Raw genomic sequence first — 14,269 nt, 5'->3', positions numbered from 1 at the left:
CGGGTTGCTGTGGTTACTGGGGAGGTGAGGCTTTCTGTCTGGGATTTGTGTGAGATTCGTTCACCCAGCAACAATCCGCGCAGCCTGGCGGCCCTCGGAGCCGCGCGCGCTTCCCGGACGCCTAACGCAAGTTTCTTTTCCTCTTTTTGTCGCGGGGGGGAAGGTAGAACAAGGGCCAGTGTCGGGTAGGCAGCCCTGACAATGGTAGGAACTGAACGGGCTGCAAAAATAAGTCCAGTTCCCTCTTGGTACACCTGCGGAGGAGAATGAGGTCCAGAGAGGGGGCGCGACTGGCCCAAGGGTGCACAGCAGGGAGGCGCAGAGCTGGGCTCTCCCCAGTGTGATGGGGCTGGCACAGGCAGAACCAGAGTCTGCTTGCTGCGTGACCTTAGACGACACTTCCAAAGCTCCTTTCCCGGGCTTTTGTTGAAAGAAATGACGGATTGGAGTCCATCATTACCTATGTTTAAAGACCTGCTTCTGAGATAGTCGGAAGGGAAAATTGCTGATAACAAACCTGGGCTATGTTGGAGCAGAGAGAAGCTGAGACAGGCTGCAGTGAAAAGAGACATTGTTCCTGTCCTCTAGAACAGAAGGAGAAGAAATGGGCTGGAACTGAAGCATGAAAGACTAAAGTTAGATACATACAGGGACTTCCCAAACGACTTTTCCAGGCGCCTTCTCTGGAATTGGTGGGTTTTATTTGGGGGCTGTTTTGTTAATAAAACAATGGCTGCCCATCTGTTAGAGAGGGCCTAAGTCTGGTTTACTTACTAACAAACAGGGGAGCGGAACCTATGGTGTTTTGGGACTCTGGGTTTATTCCTGGGGCAGTCGTCTCACAGTTCTTCTGCAGGAGGGAGGCGATGTCCACGTGGGGCCTTTGCCTCCTAAAGTCCAGCCGGTTTGCATTTAAAACATGTGATTGGGGCTGTTTGTTGCAAGGGGATTTCATCAGCTCCCACCGTCCTGCAGACTCTGCCAGAGGCGCTAGGATAGGGGTTTCCAGAGAGACTGGGAATGGTCCCAGCTACAGGGCCGTCATACTGAGAGGGTGTTTTGGAAATTGGTGCACAACATGGACACTTCAGTTTCCCCCCGTGGGGGCGTGGAGAAGGAAAAGTATTTTTAAAGCATTCACATCCCCAGTCGAATTCCTGGTCCTTTTTATGTTTCCTCAGTCCTGGAAGGTGGGAATGATCTGGAGACCAGGAGTAAGAAGACCTGAGTTTAGATCCCCAGCCTGGATTCAGTTCTGAGTGCCTCAGTTTTCCCTTCCACAAAATGAGGTTGGTAATGCCCACTTTACCACCATTTTTTTTTTCTTTTTTTTTTTGAGATGGAGTCTAGCTCTGTCTCCAGGCTGGAGTGCAGTGGCGCGATCTCGGCTCACGGGAACATCTGCCGCCCAGGTTCAAGCGATTCTCCTGCCTCAGCCTCCTGAGTAGCTGGGATCACAGGCGTGTGCCACTACACCTGGCTAATTTTTGTATTTTTAGTAGAGATGGGGTTTCACCATGTTGGCCGGGATGGTCTCGATTTCCTGACCTCATGATCCTCCCACCTCGGCCTCCTGAAGTGCTGGGATTACAGGCGTGAGCCACCGCGCCCATCTACTTTACCACCATTTTAAGGCTTGAGTGAGGTGGCATCATAAGAAACTTTTGCTCAGTCCACATTCTAAATAAATGAGGAAACTGAGGCTCAAAGAAAGGAAGGAATAATGACAACAATAATACCATTGGTATTATTAGCTAATATCATAGGTAATATTTATTGAGTGCGACATTCTAGCCGCTGTGCCAGGGCTTTTACTGCAAGAAGTGAGGTTTGGGAGGGCAGGAGCTCTTATCTGTTTTGTCACCATTGTTATTCCCTAGTGTCTACCTAGTACAGAGCCCTACACAGAGTAGGTGCTCAAAACATTGTTGTTGATCATCTAGATTATATCAGTTACGTGATGTTGTCGAAGTGGGTGTTATTGTTGTCCCTCTTGTACAGATAGAAAGCCTGAGGTTCAGAGAGGTAAAGCCACTTGACGAGAGTCACACAGCTTCTCACTGGTGTTAGCGCATCCTTACTTTGGGGTGTGCAGGGTGTGCTGGTGTCAGCTCGGGAGAGTGGATTGTGCCCATCTCTTCCCAGTGCAGCATTCAGTGATATCAATAGCTTGAAATTGGCATGGCCAATTTCAGTAAGGGTATTTAACACCATCAAAATTAGTAACCACCACAAATCAGGGCTTTTTCTTACTTTTTTTTTTTTTTTTTTTTTTTTAAAGACAGCTGCAGGTGAAGGGTGTTGGGGGATGGAAGACCAGCCTTGCTTCTGCTTGGCAGCCTGGAGTTGGGGGCTTTTTGGCAGAGCCAAGTGGAGCCAGGCCAGAAGGCCTGCGCCCCACTGCAGCTCCCCTAAAGTATGCGATTTGGGAAGAAACCCTTTATGAGATGGCTTTTGTAGTGTACGGTGTGAGTTATGCAGTGCAGCAGCCCCTGACTTGGGAACAGGTTGGTATGAGCCTGAATTCCAGGCCAAAATGTCTGGCCTTTAACCTGAAAGTGACAGGAGCCACGGATGGTCGTTAAGCAGGGGAAAAACCTGACAGGATGGTGCCCTAAGATTTGTCATTGTGCCAAGGGATTGGGGGGTAAGTCAGGGTGGGTGATAGGGAAGAGGTGCGGCAGTTGGCCAGGGGAGCCAGGAGGCTAACAGAAGCTCCTCATTTTCTGAGTGTGTCCTGCGTACAAACACATTATCTTGTTACTTTACACATGCATGCCTGAGGGAAGGAGAAGCCTCTGTCTGTAGATGAGGATATCAGAGAAGTTCTGAAACAAAACAGCAAAGGGCTGATCTACCCAGGCTTCCTGCCCCCAAAGTCTCACATTCTCACTCCTCCCTCCCTCCTGCACCCCAGCTTGCTGTTCCATCTTGGCTCTGGGCTTCCTTGCCAAATGTCAGGCGAACTCCAGCTCCATTGCCGAGTGAGACCTTCTGCGCCCAGTGCCGCTCCCACACCAGCCCCTAGGTCCTTGCCAGCATTCTCCCCCCAGCCCCCCCACTGCCAGCTCAGCTTTTTCTGGGGAAGGAGCCTGGGATCAGGGCCAGAGTGGGATGTCCAGCTGTCAGTCTCCTCGGGGTCTTGGGACCACAGCCAAGGACCAGGACTGAGGAGGGGAGGTCTCAGGGTCTAAGAGGCACACTCAGTCCCCCACTAAGGATTCATCTGGAGGATAATGCTTTATTTGTGGGTACAGACCCAACTGTGCCTTAACATGCTGTGTGACTTTGGGCAAGTTGTGTAACCTCTCTGAACCTTTCTTCATCTGTTAAATGCCTAATTATTTATGAGGATCCAATCCAGCAACACATGCCATGCCTCCAAATGCAAAAAGTGGCTGAGGCTGGGCGCTGATTGCTTCCTTTCCTTTTAGTGATTTTCATGTGTTCCCACATGTTGCATAATGGCTGTATTGCAGAAAACAACATATTGTATTAGAGTTTAAACAGAGGAGGAGAAGGTGTGGGGGTTACAGAATGTTATAGGATGTCAGAGCTGTAAAGGGCCTCAAAGAACCCAACGATACATTTCGCCTTTCACAGGAGGGGCAACTGAAGACGGAGGTGCCCAAGGTCAGAAGGAAGCACCACACAGAGGTGAGGTGGTATTCGTTTGTTTTGTTTTTAAGAATAGTACATGTTCATTTCATTCTTATTTTTAAAGCAACTGTTATATTTGAAAAATACCCAAAAGGAAAAATGGTAAACTTCCCTATCAAAAAAACTTGCCTATAATTCTACTACCTAGTGATAATGATTGTAAACTTTTTTTTTTTTTAATTGAGACAGTTTCACTGTCATCGCCTAGGCTGGAGTGGGGTGGCACGATCTTGGCTCACTGCAACCTCTGCCTCCCAGGTTGAGGCAGTTCTCCTGCCTCAGTCTCCCGAGTAGCTGGGATTACAGGTGCACGTCACCACACCCAGCTAATTTTTGTATTTTTAGTAGAGACGGGGTTTCGCCATGTTGACCAGGCTGGTCTCGAACTCCTGACCTCAGGTGATCCTCCCGCCTCAGCCTCCCAAAATGCTGGGATTACAGGTGTGAGCCACGGCGCATGGCCTGTTGTAAACATTTTAAAGCATGTCTTTCTCTTTCTTTTGCTTTCTCTCTCTTTCTTTTTCCTATCCTGTCTCCTTCCTTTCTTCCTCCTCCTCTTCCTCCATATTTTACTGTTTTTTTTTTTAAGTGGACTCAAACTAGATATATATTATTTTATAACTGGCTTGTCCACTTAACATAACAAAATTTTTACATTATTTGATATTCTTCAATAGCATGACTGTTAACGGCAGCTAATATTATTCCTTTGAGTGGAACTATCACAATTTCTTTCAATGATCACCTGTTACGGGACACTGCTATTGTTTCCAACCATTTTACCTATTGCAAGTTTCAGTTGCAAAGTGATTAAGATCACACTGTCCAGGGCCGGGCACGGTGGCTCACGCCTGTAATCCCAGCACTTTGGGAGGCCGAGGCGGGTGGATCACGAGGTCAGGAGATCGAGACCATCCTGGCTAACACAGTGAAACCCTGTCTCTACTAAAAATACAAAAAAAAAAAAAAAATTAGCTGGGCGTGGTGGCAGGTGCCTGTAATTGCAGCTACTCAGGAGGCTGAGGCAGGAGAATGGCATGAACCCGGGAGGCGGAGCTTGCAGTGAGCTGAGATCGCGCCACTGCCCTCCAGCCTGGGCAACAGAGCGAGACTCCATCTCCAAAAAAAAAAAAAAAAAAAGATTATACTGTCCAGATTCAAACAGCTTGGTTCAAACCAGCTTCCTCACCTATAAAATAAAATGGGCATCATAATTTTTCCCTCCTTGGATTAGTATGAGGATTAAATAATGAGATCTGAGTCCATGGAAAGGCTTTTATAAGGTATTTGACACATAATAGGTGTTCAGTATAGTTTTGCTGTTAGCAGTCCCTTCCTGGCACGTGCACGGTTTGTTTGACTCTTTGAAAAGAGCATGAATTTGAATTTATGTATGTGTTTTCCTCAATATGGCCACACCCTCCTCATAACCCTTATCTCAGTTGGCTGAGAAGGGGCTGTTTGTTCTGCTCCTTAACTACTCAGAGTGAGGACAGAGTTTCTAGCTGGGTCAGTGAGCCCTGGAACTGGTTTAAGGGTCGCAGGGAAGAGGGTCACAGGGAAATGTCAGCACCTCCCTCCACTTGGGAAAACTGCTTCTCCCTTTTTGTGTCCAGGACTCATCGCTAGACCTGGGGTTGATATTGTGGAAGCTGTGGATGAGGAAAATTAAACTCAGTCCTGCAGGGAGCAGGTTGTAGGGCGTTTCACGGAAAAGGCAAGGCCATTTATTTGTGAACAGTCATTCTGTGCCAGCTGGGCACTGGGGCCAAGAACTTTTGGCACATAGTCTCATCCGTCATCCCAAGAACCCAGTAAAATAATTATTGGTCCATGTTACAGATGTGGAATCTGGGATTCAGAGAGGTTAAGCAGCTTGCCCAAGGCCACACAGCTTCCAAGGGAGAACATGGAGTTCTCTGTTTGCCCACAAAGCCCATGTGCCTTAACACCTGTGCTCTGCAGCCTCCTGTCTGCATGGCATTTCTGCCTGGGTGGGCAAATGGAATAAAGAATCCAGGAGGTTTAGCATTAGAAGATAATCTCTGATAACCTCAGAGACAATCTCATTAAGCCGCAGGTTCCAAAGCTCAGAGAAAGGAAGGTGCTTATTCCTGGTCACTCAGGCTGGAACTTGGTTCTCTACTTCCCTAGCCAGGCTTCATCATTTCTTCTTGGTTCACTCTGGAAATCCTCACCTGCCTCCTCTTTCCCTCAGACTCCCTGTGGATTTTTTTTTTTTTTTTTTTGACAAGCGTCTTACTCTGTTGCCCAGGCTGGAGCGCAGTGACATGATCTCGGTTCACTGCAACCTCCGCCTCCCAGGTTCAAGTGATTCTTGTGCCTCAGGCTCGTGGGAAGGGCTGGCAGGGTTCTGCAGACACAGCCATGCACATGACTGTTGCTGGTAAAAGGGTGAAAGTCATCAAGCCCTGGCAGTAGGAGTAAGAGGTTTTTTTTGTTGTTTTTGTTTTTGGTGTTTTTTTTTTTTTTTTTTTTTGAGACAGAGTCTTGCTCTGTTGCCCAGGCTGGAGTGCAATGGTGCAATCTCGACTCACTGCAACCTCCGCCTCCCAGGTTCAAGTGATTGTCCTGCCTCAGCCTCCCAAGTATTACAGGGAGGATTACAGGCACCTGCCACCACACCTGGCTAATTTTTGTATTTTTAGTAGAGGTGGGGTTTCATCATGTTGCCCAGGCTGGTGTCGAACTCCTGACCTCAGGTGATCCGCCCACCTCAGCCTCCCAAAGTGCTGGGATTACAGGCGTGAGCCACTGCACCTGGCCAGGAGTCAGAGGTTTTTGTTGTTGTTTCTTTTCTGGGTGACCAGGAACGAATCTCTTCTCTTCTCTTCTCTGGGCCTCAGTGTCCTCACCTATACAATGGAATAATACTCGTGTTCTCCCCACTTAAACGTTCTGTTCTTGAGCATCTAGTGCTATAAAGGAGAAGAAAGCATTTTGGGAAACCAAAAGGCTCTGTGTGGAACCAGGGCCTCACTATAAAATTGGAACATTGGCTTTGTGAATTGCAATTAGTTGGTAAGAAGCTCCACTCTCGATTTTATTGTGCACAGGTATTAATTATCTCTGCGGGCTGCAATGTTGTGAGCACCAAGCTTGGTTATTAGAAGCCAGGTCTTTGTGTGTTTGAAACTCTACTGCAGCTCATCACCTTTGTGACCTTGGGCAAGCTGCTTGGGCTCTAGGGGCCTCTGTTTACCCAACTGTGAAATGGGGTTGTCACATCAGCCTCATTGGGTTGTTATGAGGGCTATGAGTCAGGCTTGGGCAAGTAGCTAGGTTGAGTGGATCATCCAGGATATATTTATTGTATTTCTATTGTATATCAGGGCCTGTGTGCTGGGTCCTGGGGATATGATGATGAGAGCCTCACAGAGCTCCCAACTGAGTGAAGAGACAGATGTTAATCAAATAATCACATATGAAATATAGTTCCAAATGGGGAGTCCCCAAGGAGGGCACGCTGGAGCTGACATCTGGAGGTTGCCTAGAAGTTAACAGGGAAAAGAAGTGGGACTGGGTGAGGGGAGGAGCAGGACACATCTGTCCCAGGAAAAGCAAGGAGGCCTGTATGGCAGGAGCATGCTGAGCAAGGGCAGAGAGGGTGGTGGGAGAAGAGGCTGCAGCAGCGGCCAGCTTGTGGAGTTTCATCTTCTTTCTCAGAGCCATAGTAGCTAGCTGTGCGTCTGAAGCATGGAAGGGTCTTGTTTGGAACTTTTATCTTGGAAGACCACATCGGTGCAGTGTGGGGAACAGATTAGTGGACCCTAGAGCTTTCCAGGCAAGGCCGATCCAGGGACCCACGTGGGGATGCAGAAACGGGGACAGATTCTGGTGAAATTTAGGAAATGAAATCACTGGGAGTTGACGATGGATTGGTTATGGGATGTAAGGGAAAAGGAAGTGTCCAGGGTCACAGTTGATTCTCAGTGTGTACCTGGGTGAAAGATGGGCCAAACTAAGGAGGGGTGGGTTTGGAGGGTGGCAATACTAGGAGCTCAGTCTTAGACATGCTGCTTCGGTTTGGTAGAATTTGGCCTGTGGGTGGGGACAGTGATCCAAGAGGGGGCAGTGCATGAGCAAAGGCAGGGAGGAGGGTTGGTCATGCTTGGGGGTGCAAGGAAATGGAACAGACTGCACTGCAGGCGGTTCTCCTTGGTGTTAGGTGGCTGCCCCTGAGATGGGTTTGGGGTTATCCAGGGGCCACAGGCTATGCCCAGCAATGGCAGCCACCTGGGTTAATGCTGCCTGGGTTAATGACCAGGGAGGGAGGGTGAGTGAGTGACAGGGTGTCAGGGGAGCCCGCCCCTTGCACAATGGCACACATGGCCTCCAGAGCTGATAGGGAGGGGCCTCATTAGGGTTTGGCTCTGCTCCATGTGGGGCTGGGGGCTACAGGGAGAGCCCTGCCACCCAGATGTGGGTAAAAGGCAGGAAAGGGGATAGAGGGGTGGGCGATTACCAGGATGAGGGCTCCTGGTTCTAGCCCTGGCTACGCCAGATATTCACAAGCTGACCTTGGGAACGTCCACTCATTCATTCATTCATTCATTCACAGAACACATTCATCAGCCATAAACAGTGTGCCAGGCTTCAGGAAAGATATTAAGATCTAGCCTTTAGAGGAGACCAGAGACTTATACCTAAGTAGCAGCAATAGTTGTAGTAGCAATAATAAAATAGCTCAATACATGACTGTGTTCTGGCTCCCCCGCTCTACCCTTGGTAGGCATCATGTCATTGAATCTTTATAGCAGCCCCTGTGGGGTGGCTACTCTTCTTATCCCTGTTTTACAGATGAAGAAACTGAGGCTTAGAGACGTGAAGCCTCAAAGGTCAGGGCCAGCAGGAGATGGGGCTGGGATTTGAACCCAGGTCCACAGTGACTCTGAGATTTTTTTCTCTCCTACATGGGTGGTTCCCAAATCTGGCTGCTTATCAGAATTACCTGGAGGGCTTTTTGGACAATACAGAGGCCTGTTTTTTTTCCTCTTTCTTTTTGTTTCCTGACTCAGAGTCTCTGGGTCCTGGGTGGGGCCAGTGTTGGGAGCCTCTTGTGCTCCTGTGCCCGCTTTTCTGTGAAGCTCCTGCTTCTCCCGCTTGACTCGCTCTGCCCCGGGTACACAGGCCTTGCTGTTCTCAGGGAAAGCCCGCTGGCTCCCCCACCTTGGCCTTTCCACTTGCCCTCCCAGAACACTCTGCCCCAAACCTTCTTGTGGCTTGCTTTTGACCCCTCTTCCTTCCAGTGCCTTATTTGAATGTCACCTCCTCATAGAGACCTTCCTGACCGTCCTATAACCCTTCTCCTCCAACCCATTACTCTTGGCCCCATGTGTTCTCTACCAGGGCCAGTCACCTGGGACACTTAAAATGTCTGATGCCCAGAGACTGACTCTGTTGGCCTGGGGTGAGCCCCAGGCTTCAGTGCCACCTGGCCTGGGACACGGATCGTCACCCAGTCTCATTGTTCACAGCTCTCTCCTTGAAATTATACATGTGCTTGCTTATTGTCCATGTCTCTGCTAGAGTGGAGAGCAGGGGACTGGCCTGTCTTCGGCCCTGCCATATTCCCAGGTGATTTAAAAGCACCCGCCACACAGTAGGAGCTCAGTGAGTACCTACGAATGAAGGAATGGGATGGTGGGGCTTGAGGAAAGATAGCTCGACTGACCATCAGGATCGATCTGTTCCCAACATCTGGTGAACCCTTGGAGGGTTCTTACAACAAGGGAAAGTTTACCTGATCCGCCAGGTTCACACCTCCATGCTGCCCCGAACATCCCACTCTGGCTGCAGGACCACCTCGGGGTGAGGACGGTGGGTTGAGATGGCAGGAATCACCACGGTCTCCCTGAGATTCAGGTTGCACATTGGCAGAGTCAGAGCTGGAAGGGCAGGAGTGGTGTTGAGTCTGAGCTCTCACCGTGCACATGGGCCCTGAGGCCTAGTGAGGGAAGGAGCCTCGGCTAAGGTCAGGCCGTGGTTGAAGAGGGCCTAGAGGGTAGGAGCTACAGCATGCTGTGTGACCTTGGCCAAGCCTCTGACCTTCTCTGTGCTTTAGTCTCCCCATCTGTACCTGCAGGGCCTGGGCTGAGATGATCCCAAGCCCAGGACGTCAGGAGTTTGTTCCCTGAGTCCTTTCCTGGGCAGCGCTGACTGCGGAGGGCTTGCAAGGGGTTAAGCTCCTCCAGCTCTTGCTCTGCACGCAGACAAACCCCCTCCTTCTGACAAACACTTGTAGGAAATCAGGCTGGGCGCTTCCTGCCGAGGCGAGGCGGCCTCAACCACGGCAGGGGCGGGGAGAGGTGGGGAGCGATGCTGGTCTGTGAGCAGCAGCTTGGGCTGGCAGAACGGCCTGGAGGTGGGCCAGGGCGCAATGGAGACAGGGGGCTCCCTGGGTTTGGAACAAAGAATTCACAGGCAGGTCCCCTGAAACTGGGTCGGCAGGACGGTGGTGGAGCCCGAGAGAGGTAAGGGATTGGAACGGAGGAGGGCCCGGGAGGCCGCTTTCCTTCTGGACGGGCCAGTCACAGACTCTCCGGGACAGTCCAGGCAGCCGGACCAGCCCAGCCAGGAAGTTGCAGCTGCTGGAGCTGCACCGCTTTTCTCTTGGCTTAGGGGATCCCGGCCTCCAGGGCAAGGGTGGATTTAAGGAGGATTTCGTCAAGCCTCAGGATGCTAGATTCCAGTCCTAGCTCTGATTCTGATCTCTTGTGAACTTGGGTAGGCGGGTCCATCTCTGTGCCTGGGGTGTCGTCGTCTGCACCTGGAGAGTTAGTGTCCTTGGTTGCTAAGGGGTCTCAGAGACGATGCAGGCATGGGCAGCAGGCCAGGAGGCAGCGACGGCGCCGGGGGGTGGTCCCTATTGAAGGAGTGGCCCCTTATGCCAGCTGCGTAAGAGCAAGGAGAGGAGCCAAGGACAGTCCGAGGACCAGCAGACCCAGCTCAGCTCTTGAGGATGGCAAGACCAGAGCTGGCAACAGCCAGGGCACCGTTTCTCTTTCTCCTCGGCCTCTGCTGCTGGAGCGGGCTGGGGGCAGGGAGGACACAGAGAGGGAGTGGCTGGTGCTTCCTTGTGGGACTAGAGTCCACACAGCTGGTGGGAACCCCTTGAGAACAGCAAGTCTGTGCCCTGCCAGCAGGTGGGTGGGGGTATGGTTGAGCCTTTTTGGAAGGTCTGGTTACTGATTTGGGGGGTGGTCTTCCTTCCCCATCTCCCTGACACATCTGACAGCCTTGGTTTCAGAGTTGCGGTACCCCAGCTTTGAATCCTCTGTCTGCGCTTCCTGGCTGTGAGGTCTTGTGAGAGCAGGCCATGTCTCTGTGCCTCAGTGTCTTCATCTGGGAGGTGTCAGGGTGTGGGTGGGGGTAGAAGCAGGGTGGCACCCTGGACAGCTCTGGCTGGATGGGAAGGGGCTGCAGAGGGCACGGGGAGGCTGTGCGGGCTGCGTAGCTGTGCTGGCAAAGGAGAGCCTGGGCGTCTGGGCAGTTCTGAGGGATTGAGCCATAAAGGGAAGGGTCCCTGGCTGTGGAATGACTGAGCGGGCGGAGAAGCCCTGTGTGGGTGGTGGGGAAGAAGAGTCCATCCCACCCAGGAACTGAAGATAGACACCTCAGGGGTCTGTTAGACCCTTGAGAGAGCAGGGGCAGTGGCGGCTTGGGTGTAAGAAGGAGATGTGCAGAAGGAGGGTGCAGTGGCTGCTACTTCCTTGTGGGGCCAGTTTCTCCAGGGATGGCGGGGACCCTGAACTCCATAGCCCTCCCCAGCTCACACTGCTGGAGTCTTCACCAAACCCCACTCACTGCCTTTTAGGAGCAGCCCTGCTGCCCTAACGAGGGCTGGCTGGAACAACTCTGCCTTTATCTGGCATGCAGGGACACCTGCCCATAGCTCTCCTTCAAGGTCAGGCCATACTTTCAGACCTACGTGCCTTTGCCTCCGTGCTGTTCCCGCTGCCTGGAATGCCCTCCCCAGTCTTCTCCCCCAAATCCTCATTGTTTCTCAAGCCCACCTTAAAGCTTCCTTTGGTAACACTTCTGTATTGTACTACCCCCCACCGTTTAAAATCTTGGAACACTTTTACTCTTTTCTATATTCTTTGCATCTTACGTAGCGCCTGGTATATAGTAGGAAGTCATAGGGCTTTTTTAAAAAGTTAATTTGCGCCCACTGGGTGCTCAGTATGTATCTTTGTACTTTGAAATGTGACCTCAGGGAGGAGGAGAGAGGTTAACAGTTCTGAGGCTGTTGCCCTTAGAAGCTGAGTCAATCAGGGACTTCAAAGCTCTTTGAGTCCCATACCCTGCCTCCCAACCCACCCTAGCAGGGTGATATCCCCTTGCGATATCAAGAGCAGGTGGTACTTTCTCTATTTTACAGTGAGGAAAATGCAAGCCCAGCTATACACAGTGAGTAACAGCAGCCAGGACTAGCACCTGTCTCCTGATGCCCAGCCTGCTTCTCTATCACAGCATCGTCCCAGCCTGAGGTTGGCAGGTAGTTGGCACTAACGTGTGTTTGTTGACTGACTAGCTGACTGGCCAGTTCTGGGGCTTTGTGGTGAGGAGGGCCATGGCTCGCATGGAAGGCAGAGGCCTGGCTCAGGAAAGGCTCACTGGTTTAGGCGCCTGGGGGCAAGTGCGAAACTCTAGTCAGTCACTGCAGCTGCCTCTGACGTGCACCTTCCCCTGGTTACAGTGAGATTTCTGCCACGACTGAGTCATCCCAGAAGACAGGATGTTCCTCTTTGTGCACCCAGAGGGCTCTGTGATTGGGCAGGCTGCTCTGTGGCAGAGCTAGAAAAAAAGCCCTTTAAAAAGTCAAAAAACCGCACACCTCCCCCGGCCCCTTCCTCAGCAGAGGCTTCAGAATCAGAAAAGCAACAGCTAAATTGTAGCCTCTTCTCCACCTGCCATAACAGCAGGAGCCAGGAGGCCTAGTGAACTTCAAAGGGCAGGCCCTGCCTGAGGCCCTGGTTTAAAATGCAGATTCCTGGGCCCTATCCCAGGGCCACTGAGTCAGGCTCTCTGCAGGTTGTTTCAGGAAACTGCACGCTTAGAGGATTCTTAAGCACACTGAAGCTTAAGATCCCTGGCAGGGATTTCCAAGAAGGGTACAGGCCCTGCAGAAGGTATGAGAAGCAAGGATTAGAGCTTCTATTTAAAATATAGTTGACCAGCTGGGTGGGTGGCTCATGCTTGTAATCCCAGCACATAGGGAGGCCGAGGCAGGAGGATCATTTGAAACAAGGAGTTCAAAACCAGCCTGGGCAACGTGGCAAAACCCCATCTCGACAAAAAAAAATTTTTAAAATTAGCCAGGCATGGTGGCGCATACCTGTGGTCTTAGCTACTCAGGAGGCCGAGGTGGGAGGATCGCTTGAGCCCAGGTGGTCAAGGCTACAGTGAGCTCTGATTGCCATTGTACTCCAGCCTGGGTAACAGTGAGACCCTGTCTCAATAAAATAAAATACAGTTGATCCTTGAATAATACAGGGGTTAGGAGTGCCTCATGCAGTCAAAAATCTGCTTATAACTTTTAACTCCCCCAAAACTTTATCAATAGCCTGCTATTGACTGGAAGCTTTGCTGATAACATAAACAGTTGGTTAATGCATATTTTCTGTCTTATATGTATTATGTACTGTTTTCTTACAATAAAGTAAGCCAGAGAAAAGAAAATGTTATTAAGGAAATCATAAGGAAGAGAAAATCTACTTACTTTCATTAAGTGGAAGTGGATCATCATAAAGGCCTACATCCTTGTCATCTTCACATTGAGGAGGAGGAGTTAAGGGGGAGATTGATCTACTGTCTTAGGGGTGGCAGAGGCAGAAGAAAATTCACATATAGGTAGACCTGTGTGGTTCAAACTGTCATTAAGGGTCACCTGTATATATTTTCTTTTTCCTTTTTATTTTTAGTAGAGACAGGCTTTTGCCACGTTGCCCAAGCTGGTCTCAAACTCCTGAGCTCAAGTGATCTGCCCACCTCGGCCTCCCAAAGTGCTGGGATTGCAGGTGTGAGCCGCTGTACCTGGCCCATTTTCGATTGCATCTTTTTAGAAGATCACTTTTGAAAATACTCTTTCCAATACATGTAATATATTAGCGTGATGTGTTCGAGCAAATATATTTTTACTGATGGATTGTGTGATTAAAAAAATATTGGGGTACCACTAGGCCAGAATTGACAGTTGCAAATCTTGCTGTGGCAGGAAGTAGCTGGGTGATCTTAGCCAAATTCTACCCTCATGTTTGTAGGAGGGCAGATTGAGAATTTAAAAGTAAAGCTTCAACCCAGGCTGGCGCCGAGTGGGCTCTTCACATGTGGTAGGGACTGTGGGGCTGGAGGACAATACACAGGGTGATCTGGAGGAAATTGTAGGGCTCTGCATTTGGGGGTAGAGAGGAAGACTGGGCGGGGACAGAGGATAGAAGCCCCGAACACCCATCCACAGAGCAGGAGTCGCAGCCAAGGAGGGAAGAATGGTATTCCCTGCACCTCCCTCCTCCAGCCCTTGAGAAGTCAGCCTTTCCCGGGCTGCACTGTTCCCTGGGGAACTTTGTGTCCAAAAATAGTTGCC

General features: G+C 50.6%; 1 protein-coding gene and 1 long non-coding RNA gene across 18 annotated transcripts in view, besides 7 other annotated features; one reads left to right on the top strand and one right to left on the bottom strand.

Moving 5' to 3' along the window:
* Window positions 1–14,269, top strand: part of AKNA (AT-hook transcription factor) — a 67,969-nt gene that overhangs the window by 459 nt on the left and 53,241 nt on the right. For 8 of the 17 annotated variants that reach the window (XR_929844.4, XM_011519063.3, XM_047423924.1 and 5 more), the window contains exon 1: window positions 10,032–10,154. The exons of 1 other annotated variant lie outside the window; for it this stretch is intronic. The gene's annotated coding sequence lies outside the window, so the exon portion shown is untranslated. Of the gene's footprint in view, window positions 1–40; window positions 693–1,181; window positions 1,290–3,603; window positions 3,658–9,978; window positions 10,155–10,620; window positions 10,827–14,269 lie in introns of those variants that run through there. 8 more of the 17 variants (XM_011519065.3, XM_005252245.2, NM_001317952.1 and 5 more) reach the window with 6 other exon arrangements.
* LOC124902253 (uncharacterized) lies at window positions 5,945–9,964 on the bottom strand. The gene is made up of 3 exons (XR_007061742.1): window positions 9,761–9,964; window positions 9,425–9,569; window positions 5,945–7,171 (listed from the first exon to the last, which is right to left on the bottom strand). It is a non-coding gene; the product is annotated as an uncharacterized LOC124902253 (long non-coding RNA).
* Window positions 9,670–10,405: an enhancer, noted in NCBI's record as "H3K27ac-H3K4me1 hESC enhancer chr9:117149889-117150624 (GRCh37/hg19 assembly coordinates)". NCBI's record gives its function as "activates a minimal SCP1, AML or CMV promoter by ChIP-STARR-seq in naive H9 embryonic stem cells {active_cell/tissue: H9 hESC(naive)}" and the evidence as "EXISTENCE:reporter gene assay evidence [ECO:0000049][PMID:30033119]".
* Window positions 9,740–10,029: an enhancer, noted in NCBI's record as "active region_28863". NCBI's record gives its function as "activates an Ori minimal core promoter by ATAC-STARR-seq in GM12878 lymphoblastoid cells {active_cell/tissue: GM12878}" and the evidence as "EXISTENCE:reporter gene assay evidence [ECO:0000049][PMID:35858748]".
* Window positions 10,070–10,199: an enhancer, noted in NCBI's record as "active region_28862". NCBI's record gives its function as "activates an Ori minimal core promoter by ATAC-STARR-seq in GM12878 lymphoblastoid cells {active_cell/tissue: GM12878}" and the evidence as "EXISTENCE:reporter gene assay evidence [ECO:0000049][PMID:35858748]".
* Window positions 11,220–11,369: an enhancer, noted in NCBI's record as "active region_28861". NCBI's record gives its function as "activates an Ori minimal core promoter by ATAC-STARR-seq in GM12878 lymphoblastoid cells {active_cell/tissue: GM12878}" and the evidence as "EXISTENCE:reporter gene assay evidence [ECO:0000049][PMID:35858748]".
* Window positions 12,140–12,199: an enhancer, noted in NCBI's record as "active region_28860". NCBI's record gives its function as "activates an Ori minimal core promoter by ATAC-STARR-seq in GM12878 lymphoblastoid cells {active_cell/tissue: GM12878}" and the evidence as "EXISTENCE:reporter gene assay evidence [ECO:0000049][PMID:35858748]".
* Window positions 12,320–12,369: an enhancer, noted in NCBI's record as "active region_28859". NCBI's record gives its function as "activates an Ori minimal core promoter by ATAC-STARR-seq in GM12878 lymphoblastoid cells {active_cell/tissue: GM12878}" and the evidence as "EXISTENCE:reporter gene assay evidence [ECO:0000049][PMID:35858748]".
* Window positions 12,390–12,459: an enhancer, noted in NCBI's record as "active region_28858". NCBI's record gives its function as "activates an Ori minimal core promoter by ATAC-STARR-seq in GM12878 lymphoblastoid cells {active_cell/tissue: GM12878}" and the evidence as "EXISTENCE:reporter gene assay evidence [ECO:0000049][PMID:35858748]".

This window comes from Homo sapiens, chromosome 9 (assembly GCF_000001405.40).
Source record: "Homo sapiens chromosome 9, GRCh38.p14 Primary Assembly".
In the NCBI taxonomy this organism is placed as follows: domain Eukaryota; kingdom Metazoa; phylum Chordata; class Mammalia; order Primates; family Hominidae; genus Homo; species Homo sapiens.
The sequence above is the reverse complement of the archived record's forward strand: the minus strand, read 5'-3'. Positions and strand labels throughout refer to the sequence as shown.